Source organism: Homo sapiens, chromosome 16 (genome assembly GCF_000001405.40).
Source record: "Homo sapiens chromosome 16, GRCh38.p14 Primary Assembly".
Taxonomy (NCBI): domain Eukaryota; kingdom Metazoa; phylum Chordata; class Mammalia; order Primates; family Hominidae; genus Homo; species Homo sapiens.
Genome location: NC_000016.10, coordinates 14,434,395 through 14,462,147, shown reverse-complemented (window position 1 = coordinate 14,462,147; position 27,753 = coordinate 14,434,395). Strand labels below are relative to the sequence as shown.

Sequence of the window (27,753 nt, the reverse complement as noted above, 5' to 3'; positions counted from 1 at the left end):
ATTTTTCAAGTAATTCTCTGTGCATGGTTCTGATATGCATGGATTTCAGTCACCAGGTTAGTTAAATAACACCAGTCCCCCAATAATATGATTCCAATTTCAGTGACTACGATGTGTTAACTGTGAGTAATTGAATAAAGTATAAACTTCACTACTAGCTCTTCAGTCCACTCATCCCTGTGTAGAAAACAGATGCACATCCTAATCTGTCACCAATCAGGTCACTTCTTTCAGAGTCTGTGTGTCTGCACATTCATTATTCTATTCACTCAGACAGCAAAACATGTCATTATGTTGTCTCCTTGTTTCTCAGTGATAAACCCAGGCAACATTCTTTTCAAATGGATAATCAAAAGAGAGAATTGATCAACCAAGATGAAAGTGTCATAAGGAACCAATAAGTGATAATGTTGGAAGTGAAATTCAAATCAAAACAAGTAGAATTATAAAGAAGAATTAGCTGACCACGGGAATGTTGACACTGCTGCCATTTGAGTTACTGTAAATCTGCAGCCAGAGGAACTTAACGAAGGCAACTTATCAGCATAAATGAGGAAAGTGGTTGTGACAAAAAGGATGAAGATGTCCCAGAAGAAGTAACGCCAGCACAAACTTTCACATTAAAGGAGCTCTCAGAGATATTTCACTACATTGAAAGCGCAAAGGATAACCCACTGGAAGCTGATTCACACTTACAAAGGAGTACAACAGTTCACCCAGGCATAGAAGAAACACTCACTGCATATCATAAGTTACATGGCAAGAAGAAGGCACACACTGTTTAAACTACCCTGAATAAGTTTTTTTGTTTTTAACAAAAGCTCATACTTTATTCACATTTCCTCGGTTTTTACCTAATGTCCTTTTTCTGTTTCAGTTTCAGGATCTCATCTAGGATACCATATTATATTTGGCCATCATATCTCCATAGGCTTCTTTAGACCACGATGGTTTCTCTGACTCTCCTTGTTTTTGATTACCTTGACAGTTTCAGGATGAAATTGGCCAGCTAATCTATGGAATGTCCTCCAACTTGAGTTTGTCTGATATTTTTCTAGTGGTTAGACTAAGGTTATGGGTTTTGGATGGAAGACCCGTGATGAAGTGCCATCCTCATCACTTCATATCAAGGGAACATGCTGTCAATGTGATTTCTCACTTGGGATGTTAACCTTCATCACCTGGGTTGAGGTGGTGTTTGCCAGATCTCTCCACATGAAGTTACTGTTCTCTCTCTTTCCACACTCTGCTGTTTGAAAGGAAGTCACTGTACACAGCCCAAGTCTAAGTGGTGGGGAGTTATGTTCCACCTCCTTGGGGGAGGAGTGTCTGTAATTATTCTGAACAAGAGATTTGTCTCTTATTTGTTATTTAGTCATTGATCTATATCATTATATAGACATAAGTTTTATACAAAGAAATAAAACACTTTAATTCTCAGTGGTTTCTGATGCTTTAAATTGCAGTGTACTAAATGTTGTGGCTTTACCTTTTGTATGTTTGTTTGTTTCTCTATTTTTAACCCAGAGTCAGAGACTTAATAATGTTTTGACGAAAGTTTCTAAAGGTCACAGAAAAATCCATTTTTCTTTGATTTCAAGGTGAGTGTAGAACACCTTTAGAGTGCAAAGGACAACCCTTTGGAAGATGATTCAAACTTACAAAGGAGTACGAGTGTAGAATACTCACCCTTCCGTTGTCCAGATGTTTTTATGATCCTGTACTACGTGCAAAGCAAGGACTGGCTGTAGTTTGTAAAGTTTCCTTCAGCTCCCTACTCTGTGCTTGTTTCCTCAGAGTTCCTTTATTTCTGTCTGTATATTGGTCTGTTTTGGTTTTTGTCTGTCATGTTGGAAGCTTTCTTTAAATATTTGGCTGTTCTTGGCCATCCATTATTTTTTAAGAATGAACTAAAAATTGATAAGAAGCTCTGGGTGTGGAGGCAAATCTTATTGATGGTCTTTCTGTGTAGGATGTTGAGGTGAAAAATTGGCTTTATAATTAATATGTCTTTTCTCTGAGGCTGATTCAGTTCCTTTATGGCTTACGCTTCTTATATCTACATGAGAACTCTGCCTAGATAAGGTCACAGAGATTTTCTCATGTTTTTTAGCAGTTTTTAATTATTCTCAGTTTTATATTAGATATATGATCTATTTCAAGTTAATTTTTATATACGGTTATGAGGCATGGGTATGAGTTTATTTTTTGCATATAGATATGCAATTATTCCAGCACTATTTTATGAAAAGTAAATTACTGAATTACAACTCCTTAGTCAAAAATCATTTGGTCATATACGTATGGGTCTATTTCTGGACACTATTCTATTCCATTGATCTATATGTCTGTTCTTTCACCAATACCATACTGTCTTGATTACTGTAGCTTTGTAGTGAGCCTTGAAATCAAATATTGTACCTTTAATCTTGTCTTTTCTATATAAAAGTTTATTCTATTCACTTTTCCACAAAAGTTTTAGTCAGTTTGTCAGTTTCTACAAAAAGTCTGCTAGCTCTTTGATTGGAATTGTGTTGAACCTGTAAACCATTTTGAGGAGAATTAACATCTTAACTACATTGAGTCTTCCAACCCATGAATGTAGTGTATCTTTTCACTTACTTGGGCTTTCTTTGATTTCTCTCATCAGTGTATTATAGTTTTCAGCATGCAAATTTTGCATATGCTATACTGGAGTTGTCCCTTAGTATTTTACCTTTTGATCTATTGTAAGTCATATATTTTTAAAGTTCCACTTCCAGTCATTTATTGCTAATATAAAGAAATATAATAGCTTTTTAATTTTGACCTTGTATTCTTAAACCAACCTTACTTACTCACTTATCAGTTCTAATAATTTATTGTAGAGTATTGGATATTTTTCGTTTGAGAAATTCTATCTACAAATAAAGACATTTGCATTTATCTCCCCAGTACAAATTTTCCCATACACATTTTCTTTCTCTTGCCTTTATTTCTCTGGCTAGGACCTCTAGTACATTGTTGAATAGAAGTTGTGAGAGCTGACATCTTTATCTTATTCCTGATCTTAGGAGGAAAGCTTTCAATCTTTCAACGTTAAATATGAATTAGCTGTAAGGTTTCAGTTTTTTTTAGAGATTGATGCTCTGATTTTCAGCTTGGGGGATACAAACCTAACTGCTGTGCTCTGGGTACAGATTGGCAGAAGGGAGCTGGACAGCCTCACTCCTCGGTATGTGGGGGATGGCTACCCCATTTCGTCAGCTCATTTCGCCTCACTGTCACTCTTCACCATTGTACCTGGTGCCGCTGAGCCTGCGGAGATCGCTTTCTCCAGAGTATAAACCTCCTATCTAGCTCCTACTGGCCTGGGGTGATACCAGTGCCCTGGCTTCCCTGGGGTAGGGGATCCTATTACAGCCTTGCTCCCTCCTGACATGGCTCCAGTCCTCATCACCTGCTCGTTTTAGGAATCTAGGGCCTGGTTGTGCTGAGATTTTGCATGGCTTAATTGGGTGAATCTGCCTTTTGTAGAGCACTCAGATTTCTGTTTCTGCCTCTATGCAGAGCTCTTTGCCACTCTTCTCCCTGCTTTTCCTCTACAAAGAGAGTGCCTGCAAGGTGAGCTGATACCCCATTCTCTGATGCTGCCTCTCCTGTTCTCTTTTCCTCCATAGGTGTTATCTTCTCTCTGCAGATAAATAGTGTGTTCAATCGCTCATGTTTAACTTCCTGGAAATTTTTAAAAAGTAGTTTATTTTCTGAAATAGTTGGCCTTTTGGTTTGCAGGGATGATGTTTTGTTTTTCTTATAGCCTTGATTATGTTACTAATTTGATTAGTAAGTCCTTTGATTGAAGTCAAAAGGTAAATTTTAGTACAAAAGTAAATTTGATCCTAGCCTCTGAAAATTTCAGATGTTCTAAATTCAGGTCCAACTAATTGTATATTGATAATATATTTTACATTTAGAAATTATTATTAATGTAGTATCTTTCATGTTTGCATCAATCTTTTCTGTGTTAAAGTGAGTTGACAATAGGGGATTGTTTGAAATATTCAAAATAGTTTCTTGTGAAAAGTATTTCTTATTGAATGCTATTGATTCTTTGTAATGTTGAACTAATTTTTTTCTTAAGCCTCGTATTCACAAGTAAGCTTTATGTCTAGGATGGAGCAGATACACAATGCATTCATGTTTTCTCTGTCTCTCTCTCTCACACACACACACACACCCACACACACACCCCCACACACACACCCCTATTCCACAAGAGATGTCCTTATTACCAGACAGCTACCATTCAGACCTTATTTAATGTTAAGTTTGTTTACAGACTCTTTTTTTTTTTTTTTTTTTTTTTTTTTTGAGACAGAGTCTCACTGTGTCCCCCAGGCTGGAGTACAATGGTGCGATATTGGCTCACTGCAACCTCCGCCTCCCAGGTTCGAGCAGTTCTCCTGCCTCAGCCTTCCGAGTAGCTGGGATTACAGGCATACACCATGATGCCCGGCTGTTTTTTGTATGTTTAGTAGAGACGAGGTTTCACCATGTTGGCCAGGCTGGTCTCGAACTCCACCTCAAGTGATCTGCCCACCTCGGCCTCCCAAAGTGCAGGGATTACAGGTGTGAGCCACTGCGCCTGGCCCCAAGACTCAAATTCTTTATTAGAAATAAGAATCCTGGTTTATCAGTGATCTCCGAGGGTTTGGCTTCTGAACTGAGCATAGGTTGTCCAACATCCTCCCCTCTCCCACCTAAATTGAGCCCCAAACACAGAAACAGTCATGCTCATGGAATTCGAATTCACCATGAAAGTTTGTGAACACAATAAAAAGGCATTTCTAGCTCCCACTTACCGGATCTCTCCAGTTCATTTTGCTGTGTGAGGTAGTTTGCACAGTGGGACCTTCCCTCAATCCCTTAGCTACATCTAGTAGGGAATGTGCTTTCATTCAGCCTAGCAGGAGAAGCTGCCCATACACTGGAATGTAAACTATGTTCATATTATTTCTAATTCAGGATAAAATAAGCAATTTGTTGTTTGTCACTTGCATTATTGCTTTTAGGGAGGTAGCTTTCACTTATTTCATTTATTTTATCCATTCAGCAAACCTTGGCCAAGGACTTACTCTATGCCAGGCCCTGTGCCAGGTACGGAGAGCACAAGCAGTGTAAGAGCCTGCTCTCATGGAACGTACATTCTAGTGACAGAGAGAGAGAATAGATAAGTAAGGACATAAATAAGAGGCAAGGCAGAGGCGAGTAGGAGGAGGAAAATAAAACAGGGCAGAGGAATGAATGTGACAAGGTAAGTGGCTGTTTCGGCTCCTCCGTGGGGATGGTGCGGGGGTCTCTTTTCTGTTGAGACCGGCACAGTGAGGAGAGCTGGCCCTAGGAAGATGGGAGTTTATAAAGCAGTGCCAAGAACATTGAACTTGGAGTGCAATCTCAGAGCCACCTGCCCAGCTGCAGTACCTGGGGGAGGTCATTTACCCTGAAGATGAGGTTTCTTGTCTGCAAAATGGGAGTGTACATGTGTCCAGCTTAAAAGGGTCATATACAGTTACCAAATATGAGAATGTTGCAAACAGCAGCTCTTTAAAATGAAAGGGTACTGTTATTTTATACAGCGCATGAACGTTCCAGCCAACTAAAGGACTTGCTCTACCTGTCTTTAAGACTTACTGTAGGCCAGGCATGATGGTTCACGCCTATAATACCGGCACTTTGGGGGACCAAGGAGGGAGGATCAGTTGAGCCCAGAAGTTCAAAACCAGCCTGAGGCAACATAGCAAGACACCCCCATCCTTACAAAAAAATTAAAAATTAGTCAGGTGTGGTAGTGCATGCCTGTAGTCCCAGCTACTCAGGAGGTAGAGGTAGGAGGATCGCTTGAACCTGGGAGGTTGAGGCTGCGGTGAGCTGTGATTGCACCACTGCTCTCTAGCCCAGGTGAGAGAGCCAGACCCCATCAGTTTAAAAAAAAAAAAAAGAAAACTTACTGTAAAACTGTAGTAGTACAGTGTGGGGCTGGGTAAGGAAAGACAGATAGTGAAACAAAATAGAATAGAGAGTCCAAGAATACAACCACATATGTGTGATCAGTTGATTTCCCATAGTTTTTCCATGCAGGAATTCCTTCTTGGCATTTAGAGACATTTGTCTCTTATTCCAAATTGTGAGAAAAATGAGTCAAGAAATCAGGAAAAGGAAATATTCTGCGAGAACTAAAATTTTAACAGCCAACATGGGCATTACTAGTTTAAAGGAATTATCCAGCATCAGGTCAAAGGCAAGAGCACAGTCAGCGACACATGGAGTCAGAGATTAAGGTCGTCATTTCAGAACCAGGACAGCAACATGTAGGAGAGAAGGGGTCACATTCCAATCACGTCATTCTTGCTTGTCACTGTCACCATATTGCAAGTGTATGTTTATGGCCCTGCCTGCTATTAATAGTGAGTCATTCTTCTCAATAAAAATCTATTGAGTTTTGCACATGAGTATACTTTACAAAATCCTCCAAGTCTTGTTGGAAGATGTAAGTTTTGGCAGCAGCCCTTAAGTTGGTAGCTTTGAAGCGTGATTCCTGTGTAGTGCTGTTAACCTTGCTAGGATAGCCAAATGTTACATTATCTTCATAGAATCCAATAATGTTCACTGGTGTTTTCCAGTGTTTGAATATTTAATGTAGGCTACGGTTCTTTGTAAATACTTTTACAGGAGAAATGTAAAGAGAAGATGTGTGAATATGATTGTGGAATACTCTTAATGTGAAATCAGCTGATATAAAATTTGAATTAGGAAAAGCAGTATCAATTTTAAGAGCAAAATCAAGGCAAGCAGACAAAATATTTTCAACACTAGGAAAGGAATTGGGCTTATATGAAGCCGTATATAGTCTAAATCCTAACTGCAGTTGGCTTTGGACACCACTCTGAAGAGTTTGACCAACTCTTGACCAATGTTCAGCATAAAATGAAAGAAGCTTTTCTACATTTGGAATATTTTTCACAAAACAAATATTAGTTAATACTTGTGTGTTTTAAAGTATCATTTAAGAATAACTTTTAAATATTTGTGGCATCTTTCAATTTTTAAATGATATTTGGCATTCATTTGGTGCTACTGTGTTTTTAATGTTTTCTGTTAACAAACGTCTATATCAGGTAGAGGTTATTTTTATGTGTTATTGAAATACGTGCTTTTCTCACAGTGTATTCATTCATAATAATAACCTGTGCATATATTATTATATCTTACTTTATAGAACTGACCCCTGAAGCTTTCAGTATAAGTGTATCACATAAAAGTGATTTGCTATTTATAACTCATTATTCAACAACATGTAACACAATGCTATGAAAAATGCAGAATATTTTATGATTTGGGAATTCTGAATTTCTCATTTCTGAATCTTGAAGCTAATGACTGTTGAGAATTTGGAAAAAACAAAAATTCCTGACACAGGTGCTGGTAATCCAGTAGGCGAAGGAAGGCTTTGTCTACATACAGTACTGAAACAACTGGGTAACTATGCCAGAAACCACATTTCTGTTCTTATGTTACACCACATTTAAAATGAACTTGAAGCGACTCATAGAACTAAATGGAAGAACTAAAATGATAACCACTGGTAGAAGAAAAAAATGAAAGGAGATCTTAGTATCTTGCATTAGGCAGAGATTTCTTAGATATGACAACAAAAGCATGAGCCATAAAAGAAAAATGTTGATAAATTGGACTTAGTCAAAATTAAATATTCTTTTCTTCAAAAGATACTATTAAGAAACTGTGAAGAGAAGGCACACACTGTGGAAAAAAATTTCTTTTCCTTTTTTTCTTTTAGAGGTGGGGATTCACCATGTTGCCCAGGCTGGTCTTGAACTCCTGAGCTCAAGCGATCCGCCCACCTTGGCCTCCCAAAGTGCTAGGATTACAGGCATGAGCCATCATGCCGGGCCAAAAATTTTCAAACTGCGTATCTAATAATGTAGTTGTATCTACATACAAAATAGTTGTATCATGATCATATGTACTCTTATAATATATACTCGGCAATTCAGAAAACAACCCAGTTTTTTGAAAAGGGGGATGAGGTCAAAACATTTCAACAGATTCTTCAAAAAAGATATACAAATGGCCAATAAATAGTTTGGCAGTTTCCTGTAAAGTTAAACATAAATTGCAAATGTATTTTTATATATCACCCAGAAATCCTTCTAGGTATTTATATTTGAAAAATAAAAACTTATGTTTTTAATAATAAAAGCTAGCTTTTACCCAGATGTTTATACCAGCATTATTTGTAATGACAAATAGTTGGAAGCAGCCCAAATGTCCATCAACTGGTAAATGAATAAATTGTGATCCAGCCATACTATGAAATAAAGTACTAATACTAACAGCCATGTGACTGACTCTCAAAGTATTATGCTAAGTGAAAAGAGTCAAACAAAAGACTAAATATTGTATGATTTCATTCACATGAACTTCTGGAAAAGGCAAAACTATATAAATAGGACTATAAGCAGATTAATAGTTGCTGTGACAATGTGGATTGAGTGCAGAGTGACACGAGGAATCTTTTTAGGGAGAGGGTATTGTTCTATATCTCAATTGTAGTAATAGTTACATGGTTATAAGCAATTCCCAAAGTTAACCAAACTGTACATTTAAAATAAGTGAATTCCATTGCATGTAAATAATACCCTAATTTAAAATGGGGAATATGTTCATGTAGCAGCTAGATTTTTGTTATTGCTTCATGGAAAAAGGTATTTGTAGGGGTTTGAAAATACGGCCTTTCTATAAGCAAACATTTCTTTCTACTAAAAGGAAAAAGTACTGGAGATGTTCACCCTTGTGGAATTTGATGGATAGTTGACAGCGACTTAGCTTTTAACAAAACACTAATCAAAGTTTAATGTTCAATTTTAACATACCAAGTTGTGTCTGTGACATTTTATTTTTTAATTAATCACCACTTCTTACAGTGGATTTAAATGTCCACTTCTTATTCATTATAAACTAGCTCACTTTGTACATTATAAATCTGTATGCAAAATGAGGTCATACAAATGGGAGATTGTTTTGCCTCTCATTTTACCTTTTGACTTTTAAAATCAGTTAATAAAAGAATGCCTCATCAACATGCAGGTATTGAGAGTGCTACACACACGCATGCACATACACACACATGCACAGCAGTACCTTCCAAATATATAAAGAATCACATTTGTAAAGGCAGTGTTACATATATCTGGTTTTTAATGTATAATTAAAACTTTTATTTAAAACTGCCGTAGTTAAGTTATATGGGATATAATCACAGCTTTTATTTTTATTAGAGGATGGCAGGTCTTACATACATATAGATACAGAAACATTATATGAAATAAACTAATTCCACATATATCTGAGAGCTTTCTCAGGCAGGATGCCCAATAACCATTAGCCTCTCCTAGGAAGCAAAAGACTTACTTGAGAGCAGAAATACAGATTAGCAATTAAGAAATATGCTGTAGGGTGGGTGCGGTGGCTCACGCCTGTAATCCCAGCACTTTGGGAGGCCGAGGCAGGCAGATCTCCTGAGGTCAGGATTTCAAGACCAGCCTGGCCAACATGGTGAAACCCTGTTTCTACTAAAGATACAAAAATTAGCTGGGAGGCTGAGGCATGAGAATCACTTGAACCATGGAGATGGAGGTTACAGTGTACCAAGATCACATCACTACACTCCAGCCTGAGCAACGGAGCAAGACTCCGTCTCTAAATAAATAAATAAAGTTGTAAATTAATTGAGAAACTGTTCAGGAAAATGCTTTGTAAACTTAAATGTTCCATAGAAACAAGAACCCTGCAGAAGCACATCTGGCAGAGTCCCTGTTGCATAGCAGTCAGTTGTTTATGGAGAGGAGCATTACAAATGCATGGGTCTTGTTGGCCAAAAATACCATAATCTGTGGTTAGGATACAACCAATGTATTCTAGTAAGTGCCTTCAAAATCATTGCTTGAAGTTAATGCTAAAATTAGTCAATCTCCATGTCCGTAGAATAGCCACATGATGTTGAGATATGAAGTGGTTGTTGTTATTGTTGTTGTTGTTTGAGACAGGGTCTCACTCTGTCACCCAGGCTGGAGTGCAGTGGGCTGGTCATGGCTCACTGAAACCTCAAACTCCCAGACTCAAGCAATCCTCCCACCTCAGCCTCCCAAATAGCTGGGACTACAGGCATGCCACCACTGTGCCTGGCTAATTTTTTGTATTTTTTTTTTTTTTTTTTTTTTTGTATTTTTTTTTTTTTTTTTTTTTTTAGAGACGGGGTTTCTCCACATTGCCCAGGCTGTTCTTGAACTCCTGGGCTCAAGCAATCCTCCTGCCTTGGCCTCCCTAAGTGTTGAGATTACAAGTGTGAACCACCACACCTGGCCAAGATAGAAGTTTTGACAAAACTATACTCCTATAAAGACACAGGGAATTAACGTTACCCCAGAAAATTCCCTCATTTTCTACCAGTCAATCCCTACCTACCCTCCCATACCCACCATTCTTCTGAATTTTTTTCTCTGAAGATTAGTTTAGCCTTTTCTGGAATTTCATGTAAATGGGTTTATAAAATACCCACCCTTTCCTGTGAAGGCTTCATTCACTTAGAATGTTTGAGATTCATCCGTGTTGTTGGAGGTAACAGTAATTCATTTTTTAATTGCTGAATTATATTTCGTTGTATGAATATAGCCCAGTTTATCCATTCTCCTGTTGATGCACTGCTCCTAGTTTCAGTTTATTATAAAAAATAAGATGAACGAGTTAAAGTCCTCATGAGACAGAAAAGCAGAGTTTATGGGAAGCATGGAAAGGAAAGAACAGTAAACAGGGATTGGGAACATTCCCGGAGGAGAGTGATGTTGAGCAGGAGGAGATGGGCAGTAGGGTCTTAGCATGAACGGTAACATTGAAATGGGCAGTGTGGGATGTATTTGGGCCAGTAAACTTCTGGTGGGATGACGGGCATGTGGGAGAGTACGGACGATGAACTTCATTAGGTAAACCTATATAGTCTCTGCAGCTTGGCTGCCTAGTGAAAGATAGGCCAGGAAAGCAGATTGGGACCCAGATGATAGAGGATCCTGGATGCTGTGCCAAGCAGTTTAAATTTAGGTTTATAGTGGAGAGTCGGAGTTTTTCTTTCCTTTCCTTTCCTTGTCTTACGTATTGATGTAGACTCATGGATTGCTATTTTTTTTTTCAATGATTCAGAATTTATTACTGCCCCCTAATAAATTAGAGGGCACACATTGTCCCAGATTTTCCCAGTGGGAGTCCTTTCAAGCTAGTTCCTATTTCCCTGTGACATGCCTAAAAGTTTTTTACTTCTTGGTATTGCAAAATATTTTAGACTCATTTTATAATTTATCTCCCTTGAGCCTGGAATCATCCACTTATTTGAGGAACCCTGGTTCCTTTTAGTAGGGTATTAGAAACTAAGATCTGGACAATAGATATGCTCATTGCTACTCTGGTGTCTCTGCTTCTACGTCCTTTCTGTAGACAGAGCTGGGAATTTTGTGCCTGGATAGATACAATTATCTATCCCTGCATAAATATACGTATATATATATGTGTGTGTGTGTGTGTATACATAAATATGAACACATATACTCATACTTATTTTAGAAATCACAAGCCTAAACCCGTATCTCCAATTTCAGTCTATCCTCAGAGGGTTCTTCCTTATCTTCCCTTATTCTAATATTTTTATGTCTGTCTGCCAGAAACATCAGCACATTTACTGATTTACCCAGTGCTATCATGCAGCTAAGTGTTTTCAGAATTGCTTCACTCATTCTACTACAGAAGCAAGCCTACTAAGGGGTTCAGGATTTGTTTGCAATTCTCTCCCACACCCTACTCAAGATTGGGCATACCAGCTTCATAAGTTGTTCTTTTGCACTTTGCTTTTTGCACATATTTTACTGGAAATCTTTCCATAATCATTTTCGGTTCTTTGAGATCTTCATTCTTTTTGGTAACTGCTTAGTAGTTCATTGATTGTATGTACTGTTGCGTATTCAACCAGTTTTTTATGCTTAGACATTTAGGTACTTTGCAGTATTTTGCAATTCCAAATAATGCTGTAATGAATAACTTGTACATGCATATTTTTGCATTGTAGGAGGTATATCTTCTAAATTCCTGGAAGTGTATGCAGTTTTGTTAGATATTGCCACATTCCCTCCATAAGAATAAGTCATGCGATTTTGCATTCATACCAGTAATGTGAGAAAGGACCCATTTCCCCAGTCTACTAATGGAGTATATTATCAAGCTTTTGAAGGTTTTTGCCAGTCTAAAAACCTAGTGGGTGAGAAGTGATATTTCAGTGTTGTTTTATTTTGCATTATGAATGGAGTTGAACATTTTTTCATGTGTTTAAGGAGTGTGTGTAATGAGCTGTTTATTCATACCTTTTTTAGTTTTCTATAGGACTTTTGGTCTTTCTTTTTCTCTTCAAGTTTGAGTTATAATTTATTAGAGACATTAACCCTTTATCTGTGATACATGTTGCAGATATTTCCTCGTGGTTTGTCATTTGTCTTGGCTCACGTTATTTATTGCCCTGCAAAAGATGTTTACATCTATGAGGTCACATTCATAAATCCTTTATTATGTCTGGATTGTGAGACATGGCAAGAAAACCTTTTTCTACACCTGGATTTTGGAGGCATTCACCCGCGTTTTGTTTTAGTACCTGTAAAGTTGCCTTTTTTGCATTTAGATATCTAATCCATTAGGCATTTATTCTTTTATATGGTGTGAGGAATGGTTCTAATTTTATCCTTTTCTGCTTGTCCCAACACCATTATTTTAAAGTCCATATATGCCTCAGTATTTAGAGATACCACTGTTATCATACAGTAGATTTCTAGGTACAGTTGGGGCTATTTCTAGACTTTGTATTTCACAGAGTATTTTTAATGCCCGTGGTTCTAGCTGAGTTTTCATTAAACATTTATGTATGTCTCAGAGGCTACCAGGTTCCTGAATTTACAATGCGAAGGAATTTTTAGGCCTCTTCCCCTTTCGTGATAGAAGAACCCTTATTATCTTCTTGTACTTCCTGAATTTTCTAAATTTTCTGAAATCAGCCGAACTTTTTCTAGTCTTTAAAAAATCTTCTTAAAGGTATTACCAGTTTTTAAACAGGAAACTTCAGCATACATTTTTAACAGCCACCCCCCACTGCCGAAACATTACCATTAATATCCTCCCTTATAGTCCCTCAATTAGATGTTTCAGAAAGCTGTCTATAATAGAAATGAAAAAGAGGACAAATGAAAGGCTAGCCAGCCAGTCATAGGAGGAAGAGTGCTCCAGCCTCTTCTGCTTCCCATGCCTTAGAGAACCACCAGGAAGGCAGTGTGTTCTTCTCCTCTGTCCCCTGAGTGTCCTATCAAGTGCACTTGGCAGATTCAGGGAAGATGTTGAGTGCAGGAGTAATGTGGAGGAACTTGAATATTTAGGTAGCCAGAGTTTTTTATGTGGAACATTTTAAACTATTCACTTCCTGGCTGGGCATGGTGGCTCACGCCTGTAATCCCAGCACTTTGGGAGGCCGAGGTGGGCAGATCACTTGAGGTCCATTGTTCCAGACCAGCTTGGCCAACATGGTGAAACCTCACCTCTACTAAAAATACAAAAATTAGCAGAGGCCGGGCGTGGTAACTCAAGCCTGTAATCCCAGCACTTTGGGAGGCCAAGTTGGGCGGATCACGAGGTCAGGAGTTCGAGACCAGCCTGGCCAACATGGTGAAACCCCATCTCTACTAAAAATACAAAAATCAGCCAGACTTCGTGGTGCATGCCTGTAATCCTAGCTACTCAGGAGGCTGAGGCAGGAGAATCGCTTGAACCCGGGAGGCGGAGGTTGCAGTGAGCTGAGATTGTGCCACTGCACTCCAGCCTGGGGGACAGAGCGAGACTCTGTCTCAGGGAAAAAAAAAAATTAGCCAGACATGGTGGCGGGTGCCTGTAATCCCAGCTAGTTGGGAGGCTGAAGCAGGAGAGTCACTTGAATCCGGGAGGCGGAGGCTACAGTGAGCCGAGATCACTCCACTGCACTCCAGCCTAGGTGACAGAGCAAGACTGTGTCTCAAAAATAATTAGATTAGATAGATAGATAGATAGATAGATAGATAGATAGATAGATAGATAGATAAAATTTAAAAGTACCCACCTCCTAGGAAAAGCTGGTAAGATCATTTTATCTCTCACTTCCCACCCTCCCCATGTGCTTGAATGGCCTCTCCTAAATAGAATGCCTTGAATTTATTTGAGGCTTTCATAACTTGGGGGCTATAATAAAAAAATCTCTAAGACCCATTTAGAGGAGAAAGGACTCACTGGCTATGTGGACGCTGTTTTTATCTAGTTATATTTAAGGGAACATTTTCGTAAGGAAAAATCAGGACACATAATCTGATTTAATTCAATATGTCAAAGCCTATAAAGCTTTCAAAATGAAACATTTAATTATACATTTAACAAGTCATCTTTTTGGAAAGGAAGAAGATTACATGAAGGTGGGGTATGCTCTGTAGCTATGTCCAAGTTTTAAGCAGTGGGATAGCAGACTGATTGAAGAATTCTTCAGTTCTGCTCTTTATGCATTAGGCAGTCATGAAGAGAATAATGCTATCTTCTGATTTAATGTAACCAAAACTATTATTTCATTATATTATCTCTACTATTCTATTCTACTATTCTGTTACAATAGTTTTATCAAAATAGAGGCTACTTTACGGATTTGTTCTTGAGCACTCGGATCAGCTTAAATTTGTGTATATCTATTTACAAGCATAATTTAGGACTTTTTTCTGAATAAGCTTGTTATAGGTAAACTTTCAGACTTCAGTTCATAATAAGGTCTTTAATTTTTACACACAGGCAGCAGCTGCCCATGTTGTTGATGGCTGGCTGAGTGTTAATAGAATTAAGAGTATTAAAATATTTTTATAGACTAGTCTTCCTGTAACTCTCAGCACCTTTTATGTTGTTCCACTTTTTGCATTTCAGTTTTACAGCTCCCAGCACAGTAGGAAAGAGAAATTTGAGTCCTAGTCAAGAGGAAGCTGGCCTGGAGGACGGAGTGTCAGGGGAGATTTCCGACACTGAGCTTGAGCAGACCGATTCCTGTGCAGAGCCCCTCTCAGAGGGAAGGAAAAAGGCCAAGAAATTAAAAAGAATGAAGAAGGAGCTTTCTCCAGCAGGTTTGTATTGGATCTTGCCGAAGTTCTGGGGCCGTGGACTATTTAAATGCTCTAGAAACTCCTATTTTGGGGGAGAAATTATAGCAAGGCTTCACTTGGTGGCAAAGCCCATGTAGTCTTCCACCAAAGCAGATATTTTTAGGATCAATTTAATTTAATTTGAGGAATCCTAAAAAGCTCTGGCTCGGGTAGCATAAGGCCTGGGGGGTCTCCTTGTTAAAGATGGCTAGTCTATTTTGGTAATCTCTCTCTCCTCCATGGTGTAGAGGTTTTGCTGATGTGTTTAAAGCAGCCTCAATATTTAAAATGTGCATTTAAATGTGCGCAGAGGCCCCTCCTACATGTTATTTTCAGTAGCAGCGTTTTCACTGTTTCCAGCAAAACCCCCAGGCAACCTGGATTTCTCTCCGAAGCAGAATTATATAAGAAGCAAAGGAAACAGGAAATTAGCACCTGTTGAGAGCCTACTACATGCTAGACGCTGTAGTAGGAGCCATTTCTCTCCTTATTTCATTTAATTTTCACCGTAGCCCTGAGGTGGGAATCATCATCCTTATTTGATGAAGCAGATGCCTGGGCTCAGCGAGGCTAAGTGTGCGGGGCCATGCTGCGCTTAAGAAGCACAGCCGAAAGGCAGACCCAGGTCTGCCTGAGCTGAATCCCATGTCCTCTCCACCCCGCAGATGTGCCTCACTCAGCCCTTCATGCACACATGCCACACAGGGCCACAGCAAGAGGCCAGAAGGGCATCTTGTCAGTCAGCACATGGAAAAGGCCATTCCCTGCTGCAGGGGGCGGTCCAGCAAGGCAGCAGTCACAGTGACAGTAATCATAGCCACTGCTTATTGAGTGCTTATTACTGGAGCCAGGACAGTGCTTAATGTGTAACTGAAATTCTTTCATTTAAATCCTTGAGACAGTCATCATTATCCATTTTACAGTTAAGAAAACGGAGGCCCAAAGGGTTATGTGAGTTGCCCAAAGTCCCAGAGCCATTAAGTCTGTCCTACAAGAAAGCTGGTGAGGCCAGGCTCGGTGGCTCACGCCTGTAATCCGAGCACTTTGGGAGGCCAAGACGGGTGGATCACTTGAGGTCAGGAGTTCAAGACCAGCATGGCCAACATGGCAAAACCACGTCTCTACTAAAAATACAAAAAATTAGCCAGGTGTGGTGGCGCATGCCGGTAGTCCCAGCTACTAAGGAGACTGAAGTAGGGGGACTGCCTCAGCCCAGGGAGGTCAAGGCTACAGTGAGCCAAGATTGCGCCACTGCACTCCATCCTGGGCAACAGAGTGACACCCTGTCTTACATACACACACACAAAAGAAAGTGAGTGCTTTTAACCAAGGTTATGTGTTGAGAGACACTGACCCAGACACAATTATAATCATTCTCCTTTGTCTCACATCGTGACAGTTGTCACGGTTAGCAGAACTAACAATCAAATCAAAGGAAAGTAGTAGTCAAGTGGTGGAACTTGATTCATACCCAAGCTATGAATGCACTGTTTTAATTAATCCCCTTTTGCATGTGGCCCGATCTGACTGTGGGGAGTTTTCTGAATCTCATGGATATTAATGAAATCAGACAAGTAGCAAAAATGTCACATATGCTTTTTGTACATTATGCTGAAGCTGAATTTCAACAGAAAACTTAAACTTGTGTTTGAAGCCTGGATTGGATGTTTTAGCTGTCTCTTGACTCTGGGTGTCTCTCTTTACTTACCTCCTGTCCTTTCCCTGACTTAACTATTGGAGGGGGCCAGGCATGGTAGCTCACAACTATAATCCCACCACTCTGGGAAGCTGAAGCAGGAGGATGACCTGAGCCCGGGAGTTTGAGACCAGCCTGGGCAATATAGTGACACCTTTTCTCTACAAAAAAAAAAAAAAAAAAAAAAAAATTTAAATATTAGCTGCACGGGCATGTAGTCCCAGGTACTCAGGAGGCTGAATCGGGAGGATCGCTTGAGCCCAGGAGTTTTGACTGCAGTGAGCTATGATCGCATCAGTGCACTCCAACCTGGGGGACACAGTGAGACCTTGTCTCAAGAAAAGAAAGAAGAAAAAGTATTGGAGAAGTTTTAAATCTGTAGCATCCTTAGTCTTCAAATTTCATACCTTTATTACCACTGTCATGTTTCGTGTGCTCAACAAATGTTAAAATAATGAATGTCAGCATGATTTCTAGAGATCGTACTGAGCAGGATTTAGAGGGGCAGGGGGGTTTCCCCACTTGTATTCCTGTCCTTCATAGCTGTCTCTTCTGGATTTTTTTAGTTTATTACTCCTCAGGGACAAGCTTTTCGTTTTTCCCCTCTATATCAGCATAATCTGAAAAATATTAAAATTAAAATAACTAATAATAGACTGCATTAATAGATTAGTTCCTTTTATAGCTTTCATCATTTTAAGTGAAAACTTTCTATAAGTTATTTAGGGTTTTGAATTTATAATACTGTAATTAAAATAAGGGTTTTTTTCCTCCCATTGACAGTAAAGCTGTCACTGCCACAAGATTTGAGCTAAAAAAAAAATTGTAGATTTTGTACTTCTTTGTCAGTGCTGCCAAAAAAAAAAGAGAAAGAGACATCTTGACAACTTTTAATTGAATCAGAGAACTTGAGTGAATCGAGCTTTCTTCTGGAGCACCATTCATCGAGCAAGACCCCTGACGGTGCCAGGTGGAAACTTAATGGATCCTTTCCACCTGGTTTGTTTTCAGTGTTTAATCCTATTAGTATCAGCAGGATATAGGTCAGGATATCAGGTGCAGAACCTGTGGAATCAGCCAATTTGGCTTGCTCATTTACTTTAATAAGGTCCCATAATGAGTGAGAGTACAAAGTTCAAGCCCTGTTGAGGGTCTGCATTAAACTCTCAGAAGTATTTAGAGTGTGCCAGGAGCCGCGAAGGTCTGGTTCGGGTGGTGGCGGGAACTGTATTAGAGTGCTAGGCACGGCGCGACAAAGTCTGTCCAACCCAAAACGGTGCTGAGGCGTTGGGTGTGAGCTCCAGTACTCAGAAAAGCATCTCAGCAGGTACTCAACAGATCCTCAGGGGCTTGGGGGCCCAGCACTGGCAGTGAGGGCATGAAAGACATAAAAGGGCACTACCTGTGGGTATTTTCTGTTCTCCAAGGAGGAAGTAGCAAAAATTAGGACGCTGGAATATCCTATGTTGTAGCAATCCCAGAACAACTGATGCTCAACAAATACCACACAAAACAAATTTTTTAAAATTTAATCTTACCGGGTACAGTGGCTCATGCCTATAATCCCAGCACTTCTGGAGGGCGAGGTGGGCAGATCACCTGAGGTCAAGAGTTCAAGACCAGCCTGGCCAACATGGCGAAACCCCGTCTACTAAAAATACAAAAATTAGCCTGGCATGGTGGTGCACACCTGTAATCCCAGCTACTTGGGAGGCTGAGGCAGGAGAATCGCTTGAACCAGGGAGGCAGAGGTTGCAGTGAGCTGAGATCATGCCATTGCACTCCAGCCTGAGTTACAAGAGCGAAACTCTGTCTCAAAAAAAAAAAAAAAAAGTAATCTCTTTATATCTGTTCTTTTTCTTTTAATTTTTTCTCTTTACCCAAGCACATGAACTCATAGTATACATTTTGATATCGAAGATACACTAAGAATTAAGTACTAGACCCAATCCCAGATAACAAAATGACAAAAATAGTGGAAGAAAGGACTATTTATTGGGTTTATACTATTAGACAGAGTGCTAGGAACATCCTTTATTGTCTTGTCTAGACCTTTTAAACATGCAGTAAGGTGCAGATACTCTTTCCCAGTTGTACAGAGGAAACTGAGGCTTAGAGTTGCAGACTTAAAAGTATCTAACTGACATGTGGGAGGCTGGGGAAACTCATCCAGACTTTAGAGGAAATGAAGGATTCATTACAAAGGTGAATGTTTCTTGCAGCTGTTCTAGATCAGAAACAATTACCAATCTAGACTTTCATGTGATAAAGTCACTGGATAGAAATCCAAGCGGGCTGGGCATGGTGGCTCACGCCTGTTAGTCCACCACCTTGGGTCAGGAGTTCGAGACCAGCCTGGCCAACATGGCGAAACCCTGTCTCTACTAAAAATACAAAAATTAGCTGGGAATGGTGGTGCTCCCAGCTACTTGGGAGGCTGAGGCAGGAGACTCGCTTAAGCCCAGGAGGCTGAGGTTGCAGTGAGCCCAGATGGTGCCACTGCACTCCAGCTTGGGTGACAGAGCAAGACTCCAAGACTCCGTCTCAAGAAAGAAACAAAGAAAGAGAGAGGAGGGAGGGAGGGAGGGAAAGCCAAGTAACCAGTCTCCTTCAGGGCTTCTAGTTTATGTGTATACTATGTACTCAGCAAATATTTTTCTTGTAAGTATGGTTGTTTCAATCCTATTTTCAGGAGGTGAATGTACAGCATAAGTCCCCTCCTTTTTTGTTGATATGACTGTTGATTGGTAGTGCCAGCCACTTTCCATCCAAGCAGTTCTAGGTACATACTCGGTACGCAAAGGAAAACTACTCTGCATGCCATTAATGCTGGAATAAAATGTCTTCAGGAAGTGTGGCTGTTTTCCCAGGTCATGTTTAATTGAAGGATTTCTGTCACATACTTGTTCTTGTTGATGTGTTCCTGGGACCTGGAGAAATTGCCCACCCCCTCACTTCTCTGGAGAATCTCAGGGCCGCATGGATGGTCTGATGCTGCCTGGGCTGACCATTGTGAAAATACTGCTGGCTGGTCCCTAGCAGCAGGTTCCATCAGCACCTTAGTTAGATGGTGTTTACAGAGGCATGCCCAAAGGAGATACATTGACTATTCCCGGTTATTTTTTGTCCTGTAAATAGAGACATTGTTCAAAGTCTTTTTTCCCCTAACATTTAAAACAACATGTTAGGCCTTTTAAGTGTTTGCCAAAGAACCTGGAGTTTTATTGGAGTCTTGACTAACCTGCTGAACTTTTCAAGCTGAAACCCTAAGGGTTACAGTATAAAAATTTAGAACCTAATTAGAGCAGCAGTCTCCTCATGCTGTTACTGGTCTCCTTAAAGTCAGAAACAAGATCTACAGCTGCTGCTGTCGGTCACCTGAGAGACCAGGCTGAGGCAGCCGAGCGGCCTCCCAAGGAGCCTTTTAATTACTATGTTCAAGTGTGGTTTGCAGTGAACGTGGCGAAGGAGGTGTGGGCTGCTGTGCAGTGAGGCAGAGGCAGGGCACTCAGTGCGCATTTGTGCCCTCCCTGTTCCTCCTGGCAACTCCAAGATGTCATCAGCCTTGCAGGGAGGGGGCTCACCTTCTTAGTGTGGGAAACCGGCCCCAGGGCGTACCCCCTTCAGCGTTTCCTAGTTAGAAACTTGAGTGCAGCTTCCCAAAGGACCTTCCTGTGTACGGATGTCCACTCTGTGGAAGAGGATACAATGGGAAGCTTCCAGTGTCCTGTGCAGCTTCTTAGAATCCGTTTGGGATTCACCTGGAAAAAGCAATGCCTTACCCCTTCAAGTTTCTCCATTTCAACTCCAGTTAGGTAAAGGGGAGAAAAGCAGAAATATTCACCTTTTGTGTTCCCCGTCTTTTAATTTTTTGTTTTTTTGGTTAATAAAAATAATGTACTCAGCATGAGAATTTGGAAAATGCAGAAAAATAGAAGACAATTAAGCCCCCAGCCCCCAACTTGATGCTGTGGTAACAAGCATTGTTGCTCTGCGGCCAACCTCATACCCTGTATGCAGCTTGTATCCTGCCTTTTCCCCTTTTAGAAACTCTTGGCCAAATAATCTTAACTATAAGCATAGTATTTCATATTAAAATTTTGTTGGTTTTCTTTTAAAACATTGTTTTTAATATCTTGCGCCAGGTCAGCTTCAATAAGATATAATTGTACCCAATGAAAGTCATCACTTTCAGGTATACAATTTGATGAGCTTTGACATCTGTGTACAGTCATATAACCACCACTATGATCACGATATACAACTCCATCACTCCAGAAATTTCCCTCATGCCCGTTTGGAGTTGATCCTTCCCCCAACCCCCACACAGATCCCAGCAGCCATTGGTCTTCTTTCTGTCCCTGCGATTTTGTCTTTTCCAGAATGTCATATACCTGGAATCATGCGATAGTTAGCCTTTTGAGCCTTTCATTTAACTTCTTTCATTTAGCATGATGCATTTGTGATTTGTGGTGGTGCGTGTATCCTCAGTACACTCCGTTTTACTGCTAAGTGGTATTCCACTGTATACAGGTATCACTATTTATCCATCACCCAGGGGAAGGACATTTAGGTTGTTGCCAGTTTTTGTCAATCAAGAATCAAGCTGCTATAAATATTTGTGTACAGGTTTTTTGTATGAATTAAGTTTTCATTTTCTTTGGGTAAATATCTAGGAGTGGGGTTGCTGGGTCATATGGTAACTGTATATTTAACTTCATAAGAAATTGATACACTCTTTTCCAAAGTGGCGTCACCATTTTGGATTTCCCCCAGCAGTATACAAGGCTTCAGCTCACTCTGCGCCCTCACCAGTACTTGATATTGATACACACCCCTTTTGCTTGTTTGTTCAGCAGTTCTAATGGGTATGTAGTGGTATCTCATTGTGGCTTTGGTTTTTATTTCCCTAATGACTAATAAGCATCTTTTCCTGTGATTTTTTGCCATCCAGATTTCTTATTTGGTGAAATATCTTTTCATTTTTTCCCTTTGTTCTAGGGTTGTTTATTTTCTGACTGCATTTTGAGAGTTCTTTATAGATTCTGGATACAAGTCCTTTTAAGCATTTTACAAATATATTCTTCTAGGTTGGTTTTTCTTTTCATTTTGTTGTTGTTGGTGGTGGTGGTTTGTTGTTGTTGTTGTTGTTGTTGTTTTCGAGACAGTCTTGCTTTGTCGCCCAGACTGGAGTGCAGTGGCACGATTTCGGCTCACTGCAACCTCCGCCTCTCGGGTTCAGGCTATTCTCCTGCCTCAGCCTCCTGAGTAGCTGGGATTACAGGCGCCTGCCACCACGCCCAGCTAATTTTTGTACTTTTTTAGTAGAGATGGGTTTTACCATGTTGGCCAGGGTGGTCTCGAACCCCTGACCTCGTGATCCACCGGCCTCAGCCTCCCAAAGTGCTGGGATTACAGGCGTGAGCCACCACAGCCAGCCTCTTTTCATTATTTTAACAGTGTCTTTTCAAGAGTAGTAGTTTTAAATTTTGATGAAGTCCAGTTTATCAGATTTTTCCCCTTGGATTTTGCCTTTGGTGTCATATCTAAAAAATCTTTGCATAACTCTAAGTTGCAAATATTTTCTTCTATGTTTTCTTCCAGAAGTTTTACAGTTTTAGGTTTTACAATTAAAATGTACAATTCAAGTTAATCTTTGTATATAATGCAAGCTATGGATTAAGGTCCACTGTAGCAAAAGGCAGGTGTTTTTAAGTATCTCCCTCCCTCCCTTCCTCCCTCCCTCCCTCCCTGTCTTCTTTCCTTCCCTCCCTCCCTCTATTTTTTTTTTTTTTTTTGTGCGACAGTTTCACTCTGTCACCCACCCAGGCTGGAATGCAGTAGCACTATCACAGCTCACTGCAGCCTTGATATCCTGGGCTCAAGTGATCCTCCCACCTCAGCCTCCTAGGTAGCTGGGACCACAGGTGTGTGCCACCACACCTGGCAAATTTGTAAATTTTTTGTAGAGGCAGGGTCTCCCTGTGTTGCCCAGGCTGGTCCCAAACTCCTGGGCTCAAGCCTTCCCTCATCAGCCTCCTAAAGTACTGGGATTACAGGCATGAGCCACCACACACAGCCAAGTATCTGTTTAAAAAGAAAAGTTGTTCCTAAATGATTCCTTACACTCCAGTAAAACAGGGCTGTGAAAATGAGTTCTGTGGAAAACTGACCATAGCTGCTGCTTTTTAAAAACCATACCTTCTTATCTGCCAGTTTTGAGACTGGCCGTTTGTTGATCTACAGCTCTCCCTTTCTGGAAGGTGCTGGAAAGAACGCTGTTAGTGGCCTTCATTTCCCCTCTGGTCCGGGTCTCCTGTAGATGGCTCCTACAGTTCTGGCCCCTTTGTACACATCATTCTCGCTCAGCAGCTGTACAGGTAGACAGTGAAAACTAGCATCTTTTTGATTATAGACTGTTGGCTTTCTGGGGAACAGCCATGTTCCATGTTGGATCAGCTTATTGATTAGGGGAAGAGACCTAGCGTTCATTAAAAACTTACCCAGCAACTTTGCTGTATCACAGAAGTCCTATACAGCATAAAATAGTACTGGGTCCATCTTAGACGAAGCAGTGAGACCTGTTCAAGGTCATCCAGCTAGTAAAATGGTCCAACTTGACTTGCCTTACTCCAGAACTTTTTGCTTATTCCATTATTTCCTGTTAGCTCTTCATGGAACCACTTCCTGTGTGTCTGGTGGCTCACTGTGCACTCACACACCCCCCCCCCCAACTAATGGCAGGTGCAGATTGGCAGGTGCAGATTACAAGTATTGCAGTGCAGTTGCTTTTAGCAATTTATCTTCCTTTTTCCTCTGAGCTGGATTTAATTTACTTCAGTTCCCCACATTTGGCATTGTAGCTTTTACCTTTAGAATGGCTAATTGGCTACTGCAATATTTCTTTCATATGTGAATTATAAAAGTGCCCTTAATGGATGTTTCTTTTCATACAGTTAGGTGTTTATTGTATCATTGTGGGACTGGGAAGGCCAGGCTAGCTGCAGGTTATCACAGGCCCCTTGCAGTACTTCACTGGACCCCATGAGTCCTTTTCAGTGGATCATCTCCTGCCCATCTTCACTTCTCCAGAGTGGTCTCGCCATCTTTACTGGGTGTCCCAGAACGTGCCTGTTCAGAGCGATGAGACCCAGGGCAGAAAGAGTCCGGTTACCCTTTCCCGGTCTCCTCACCCTAACTCCCTGGATCTTATCACAGTAAATGATCAGAAGTAGAAATTCTCATGTTAGCTGAAATTCTCTTCATGTTTTTTCTTGTGTTCAGACCTCGTTATTTTTAAGCATCCCTGTTACTGATGATAACCACTGTGAACTCAGTGATATGATTCCCTAGTTTGTAAGACACTGCACCCCCTCTGTATTTAAAAGTTATTTCCCATTGGAGGTATCATCAAAGACTTCTCTCCCTTTCTAAAATCTTGGTGTTAGCAGCTAGAAGAGAGACTGCCAGTTTCCCCCGTCAGCCCTACTTTATGACTTAATGCATGGCACCACTTGTGCAGCTGACGCCTGGTCGGGCCACACTTTCCATTATGAACATGCTCTTTCCTGACTTCCCTCACATTCGTTGAAGTCCAGTCCCAGCTCAGTTGCTGGCCGCAGCTGCTCGTATTGTAGAAAGTGGCATGAATAAAAAAGAAGGGCTTCTGACATTGGGGTGAAACTTTGTCACTGAAGAGATCTTTTCAATCCAAGAAGAGGACCCCAGCCAGCTTCACCGAAGCTGGAAAAAGCTGCAACCTTCTTTTGCCCCTGTTGAGATATTGGAACCCCCACTGGTTGGCTTCCCTCTGCCCTTCAGCTGCCCACCTGAGATTTCTCACCTAGGCAGAGCCACAGCACAGCACAGAGAAACTCAGTTTCCAGGGACTTTGGCAGGGATGTTGGTGCTGTGGGAGGATTCAGACCCCATCTCAGCCACTTGCTAGCTCTGTACATCTGGTCATATTACCCCACTTCTCTCAATCTGTTCTTGCATCTGTAAAATGGGGTAGTGTTACCACCTTGGTGGGCTTTTAATGAAGATTATATGAATTAAATGCCCGCTGTATTGCCAACAAAGAATCCAGCATGGTGTTCAGTGAGGAATACTGTGCATGGCTACAGTTTAACTCCTGTGAAATAAATAGATAGATGCTGGAGGCAGGGAGGTGCTTCCTCCGCGCCCCCATGATGTTTCTGTGGTTTCACTTTCCCATGCTGGGCACTGCCCTCCCTAGACAAGACCTGTCTGTGGACTCTTTCCAGCGCAGCTGTTTAGCCAGACGCTGGCCCCGTCTGCAGCCGTCACAGGCCCTCTGTCTGTCTGCTGGTCATGTCATGCTCTCCTCAAGGTGCCGTCCTGGTCCTGCTGTTCATATTGTTTTGTTCTTTCCCACCAGGAAGCATCTCGAAGAACAGCCCTGCCACACTCTTTGAAGTTCCTGACACATGGTAACCAAGACCTGAGGGCAGCAAACCGCTGGTGCTGTCGCTGTGAGCAAGAGCCGGCTGGCACATTTGGAAGCCGCACTGTATTTAACTTAATCAAATGTGGTATGGGAGGGGTTGGAAACCAAGTTGTCTCCTGGGGGGGAGAAAACAGGTTTTATTTTTGTGGCTGTGGTTTTTTCCCCTTTTTAATCTAACTGCCTGTTGACATTGACACTCATCACGGTTGTAGGCTGTCATGAATGTGTACGTGCTTAACCAGTGAATTCCGTGTTGCTCTTGTGAGGCCTTTCCTGTCATGACCCAGTGTGCTTAAGAACCTGCCTGATGGGGAGTGTCGGCTGTGAAATCTGCAAAAAGAGCTGACATTCCAGCTGCTGTGATCATGAATTTGGGGGTGTACTGTCCTGCCTGTGCATCTTCTCGCACTGAGATTTTGAGGCAGTTGCAGCCCTCGGTTAGTCTCCCAGTGGAAAAATCGGTTGTGCCTCCCTGCTTCCCACCATAGCTGCCTGAAAACATGACGCTCTCAAGCTTGTCCTTCCTTCAGGAAGATGTCCACTCATGCCCACCCATGAGAGGGCTTGCCGTATGCCCTGGCCTTTGGGCATATTTATGTAGAGTTCCTTTCTCCTAAGACGTGAGTTTCTCATGGGGGATGTACGAGTAAAAAGGTTAACTTCTGTTCTTATGCGTGGCGCTGTGTTCACTTTCCAGAGTCTCTGTTCGTTTGTTTGGATGGCGGTCTCGGGGTACGGCAGCGTGTGTGCGTACGTGTCTGTGTGTGTGTGTGTGTGTGTGTGTGTGTGTGTGTGTGTGTGTGTGTGAAATCGTGCAAATCTACAACATGTCCCAGCCCATTCTCCGTTGAAACAGATCACAGCAACGACAAACGCTCATGGCGCTGCTTTGCTCCACCCGCTTCAGATAGATCATTGTTAGATATTTCACATTTTTGTATGGTGGAAATAAAAATGAAAAATGTATTTCCAAAAGATGAAAATTAAAAACATTTTCATAGGACTCTGGTTTTCTCCTCTCTTTTTTTTTAATAAGTGAATGATGTTTTCGCTCTCTAGTAATACACAGATAAATTTCACACTCCTAAAAAAATCTGCTAAGCCACTAAGGCTGATGTTCATGGATTTTTTTCTTCTTCTTTTTACCCCTAACTGCTATACCTGCCACGATGGATCGGCTCCTCAGTACCGAGCTGAGCCCTGGTGGTAAGTGGCCTTGTAGGAGGGTGGGAGGAATGAGGACCCTTAGCACTCACACTGGAATCCCAGGGTGTTATGCAGATTCCGATTTGTAAGACAGTTTCCCTAATCAAGAGCCTCTGTCACACCTGTAAGCTGAGACGGGAGGATCACTTGAGCCCAGGAGTTCAAGACCAGCATGGACAACGCAGTGAGACCCTGTCTTTAAAAAAAAAAAAAAAAAAATTTTTTTTTTTTTTTTTTTTAAAGCATGTTAACTTCTCTTCCCCCTTCCTGCTCCTCTCCCTTCCTACAAAACTCCCTGGAGTTTTGTAGCCACAAAGTTAGAAACCCAGGCTTGGCAGGAAGGACTGCCCACCCCTCCTAGAGTAGTCAGCACACACGGCTCAGTGGAAAGTGTGAAGGTAGGATGGAGACAGACAGTAAAGGAGGGTGTATGCAGGAATGTGTAGAGAGGGCTGCCGGACTGCCGAGTCAGCAGCACTCACGGAGAAATGAGGAGAGTCTGACCCTTGATTTTGAAAGAAAAAGAGGGGGCCCAGCGCAGTGTCTCACGTCTATAATCCCAACACATCGGGAGGCCAAGACAGGAGGATCACATGAACCCAGGAGTTCGAGACCAGCCTGGGCAACACAGGGAGACCCCATCTCTACAAAAAATACAAAAATTAGCCAGGCGTGGTGGCGCATGCCTGTGGTCCCAGCTACCCGGGACCGCAGGAGAATCGCTTGAACCCAGGAGGTGGAGGTTGCAGTGAGCTGAGATTGTGCTGCTGTACTCCAGCCTGGGCAACAGAGCAAGAATCTGTCTCAAAAACAAAAGGAAAATAAACAACTTCACAGGGTAGTTGTGAGGATTAAATGAAATTACGTACAATGCCCAGCACGCGCAAGTACACAGTAAACTGTAGTTATATTTAAAGATTATGCTTTTGATCTGAAATGCTTACTGCATTCGCTTCTATCAGTGGGAGCAGACATAGTCACTGGAATTTGACTTAGAATTAAACACCCAGAGGAGCTTTCATACATGCCCAGACCTTTATTTTCTCTGCTGCATCAAATGACTTAAAACAGGTGAGCTGTGGCTCATGCCTGCAATCCTGCCA

General features: G+C 41.2%; 1 protein-coding gene across 7 annotated transcripts in view, besides 2 other annotated features; it reads left to right on the top strand.

Annotated features, from left to right (window-relative positions):
* The window catches only part of PARN (poly(A)-specific ribonuclease), a 194,560-nt gene extending 168,113 nt beyond the window's left edge, over nucleotides 1-26,447 (top strand). For 3 of the 7 annotated variants that reach the window (XR_007064884.1, XR_007064883.1, XR_007064881.1), the window contains 2 exons: nucleotides 314-15,260; nucleotides 25,376-26,447. Coding sequence is in view for 3 of the 7 variants with exons in the window: in NM_001134477.3 (NP_001127949.1) it covers nucleotides 15,067-15,260; nucleotides 25,376-25,431 (250 nt within the window). In the remaining 4 variants the exon portion in view is untranslated. The remainder of the gene's footprint in view (nucleotides 1-313; nucleotides 15,261-25,375) is intronic. The other 4 variants (NM_001134477.3, NM_001242992.2, NM_002582.4 and 1 more) reach the window with 2 other exon arrangements.
* Nucleotides 3,202-3,496: a silencer, noted in NCBI's record as "tiled region #750; K562 Repressive non-DNase unmatched - State 15:Elon". NCBI's record gives its function as "represses a minimal TATA promoter and a strong SV40 promoter by Sharpr-MPRA in K562 cells {active_cell/tissue: K562}" and the evidence as "EXISTENCE:reporter gene assay evidence [ECO:0000049][PMID:27701403]".
* Nucleotides 16,015-16,515: an enhancer, noted in NCBI's record as "H3K4me1 hESC enhancer chr16:14539490-14539990 (GRCh37/hg19 assembly coordinates)". NCBI's record gives its function as "activates a minimal SCP1, AML or CMV promoter by ChIP-STARR-seq in primed H9 embryonic stem cells {active_cell/tissue: H9 hESC(primed)}" and the evidence as "EXISTENCE:reporter gene assay evidence [ECO:0000049][PMID:30033119]".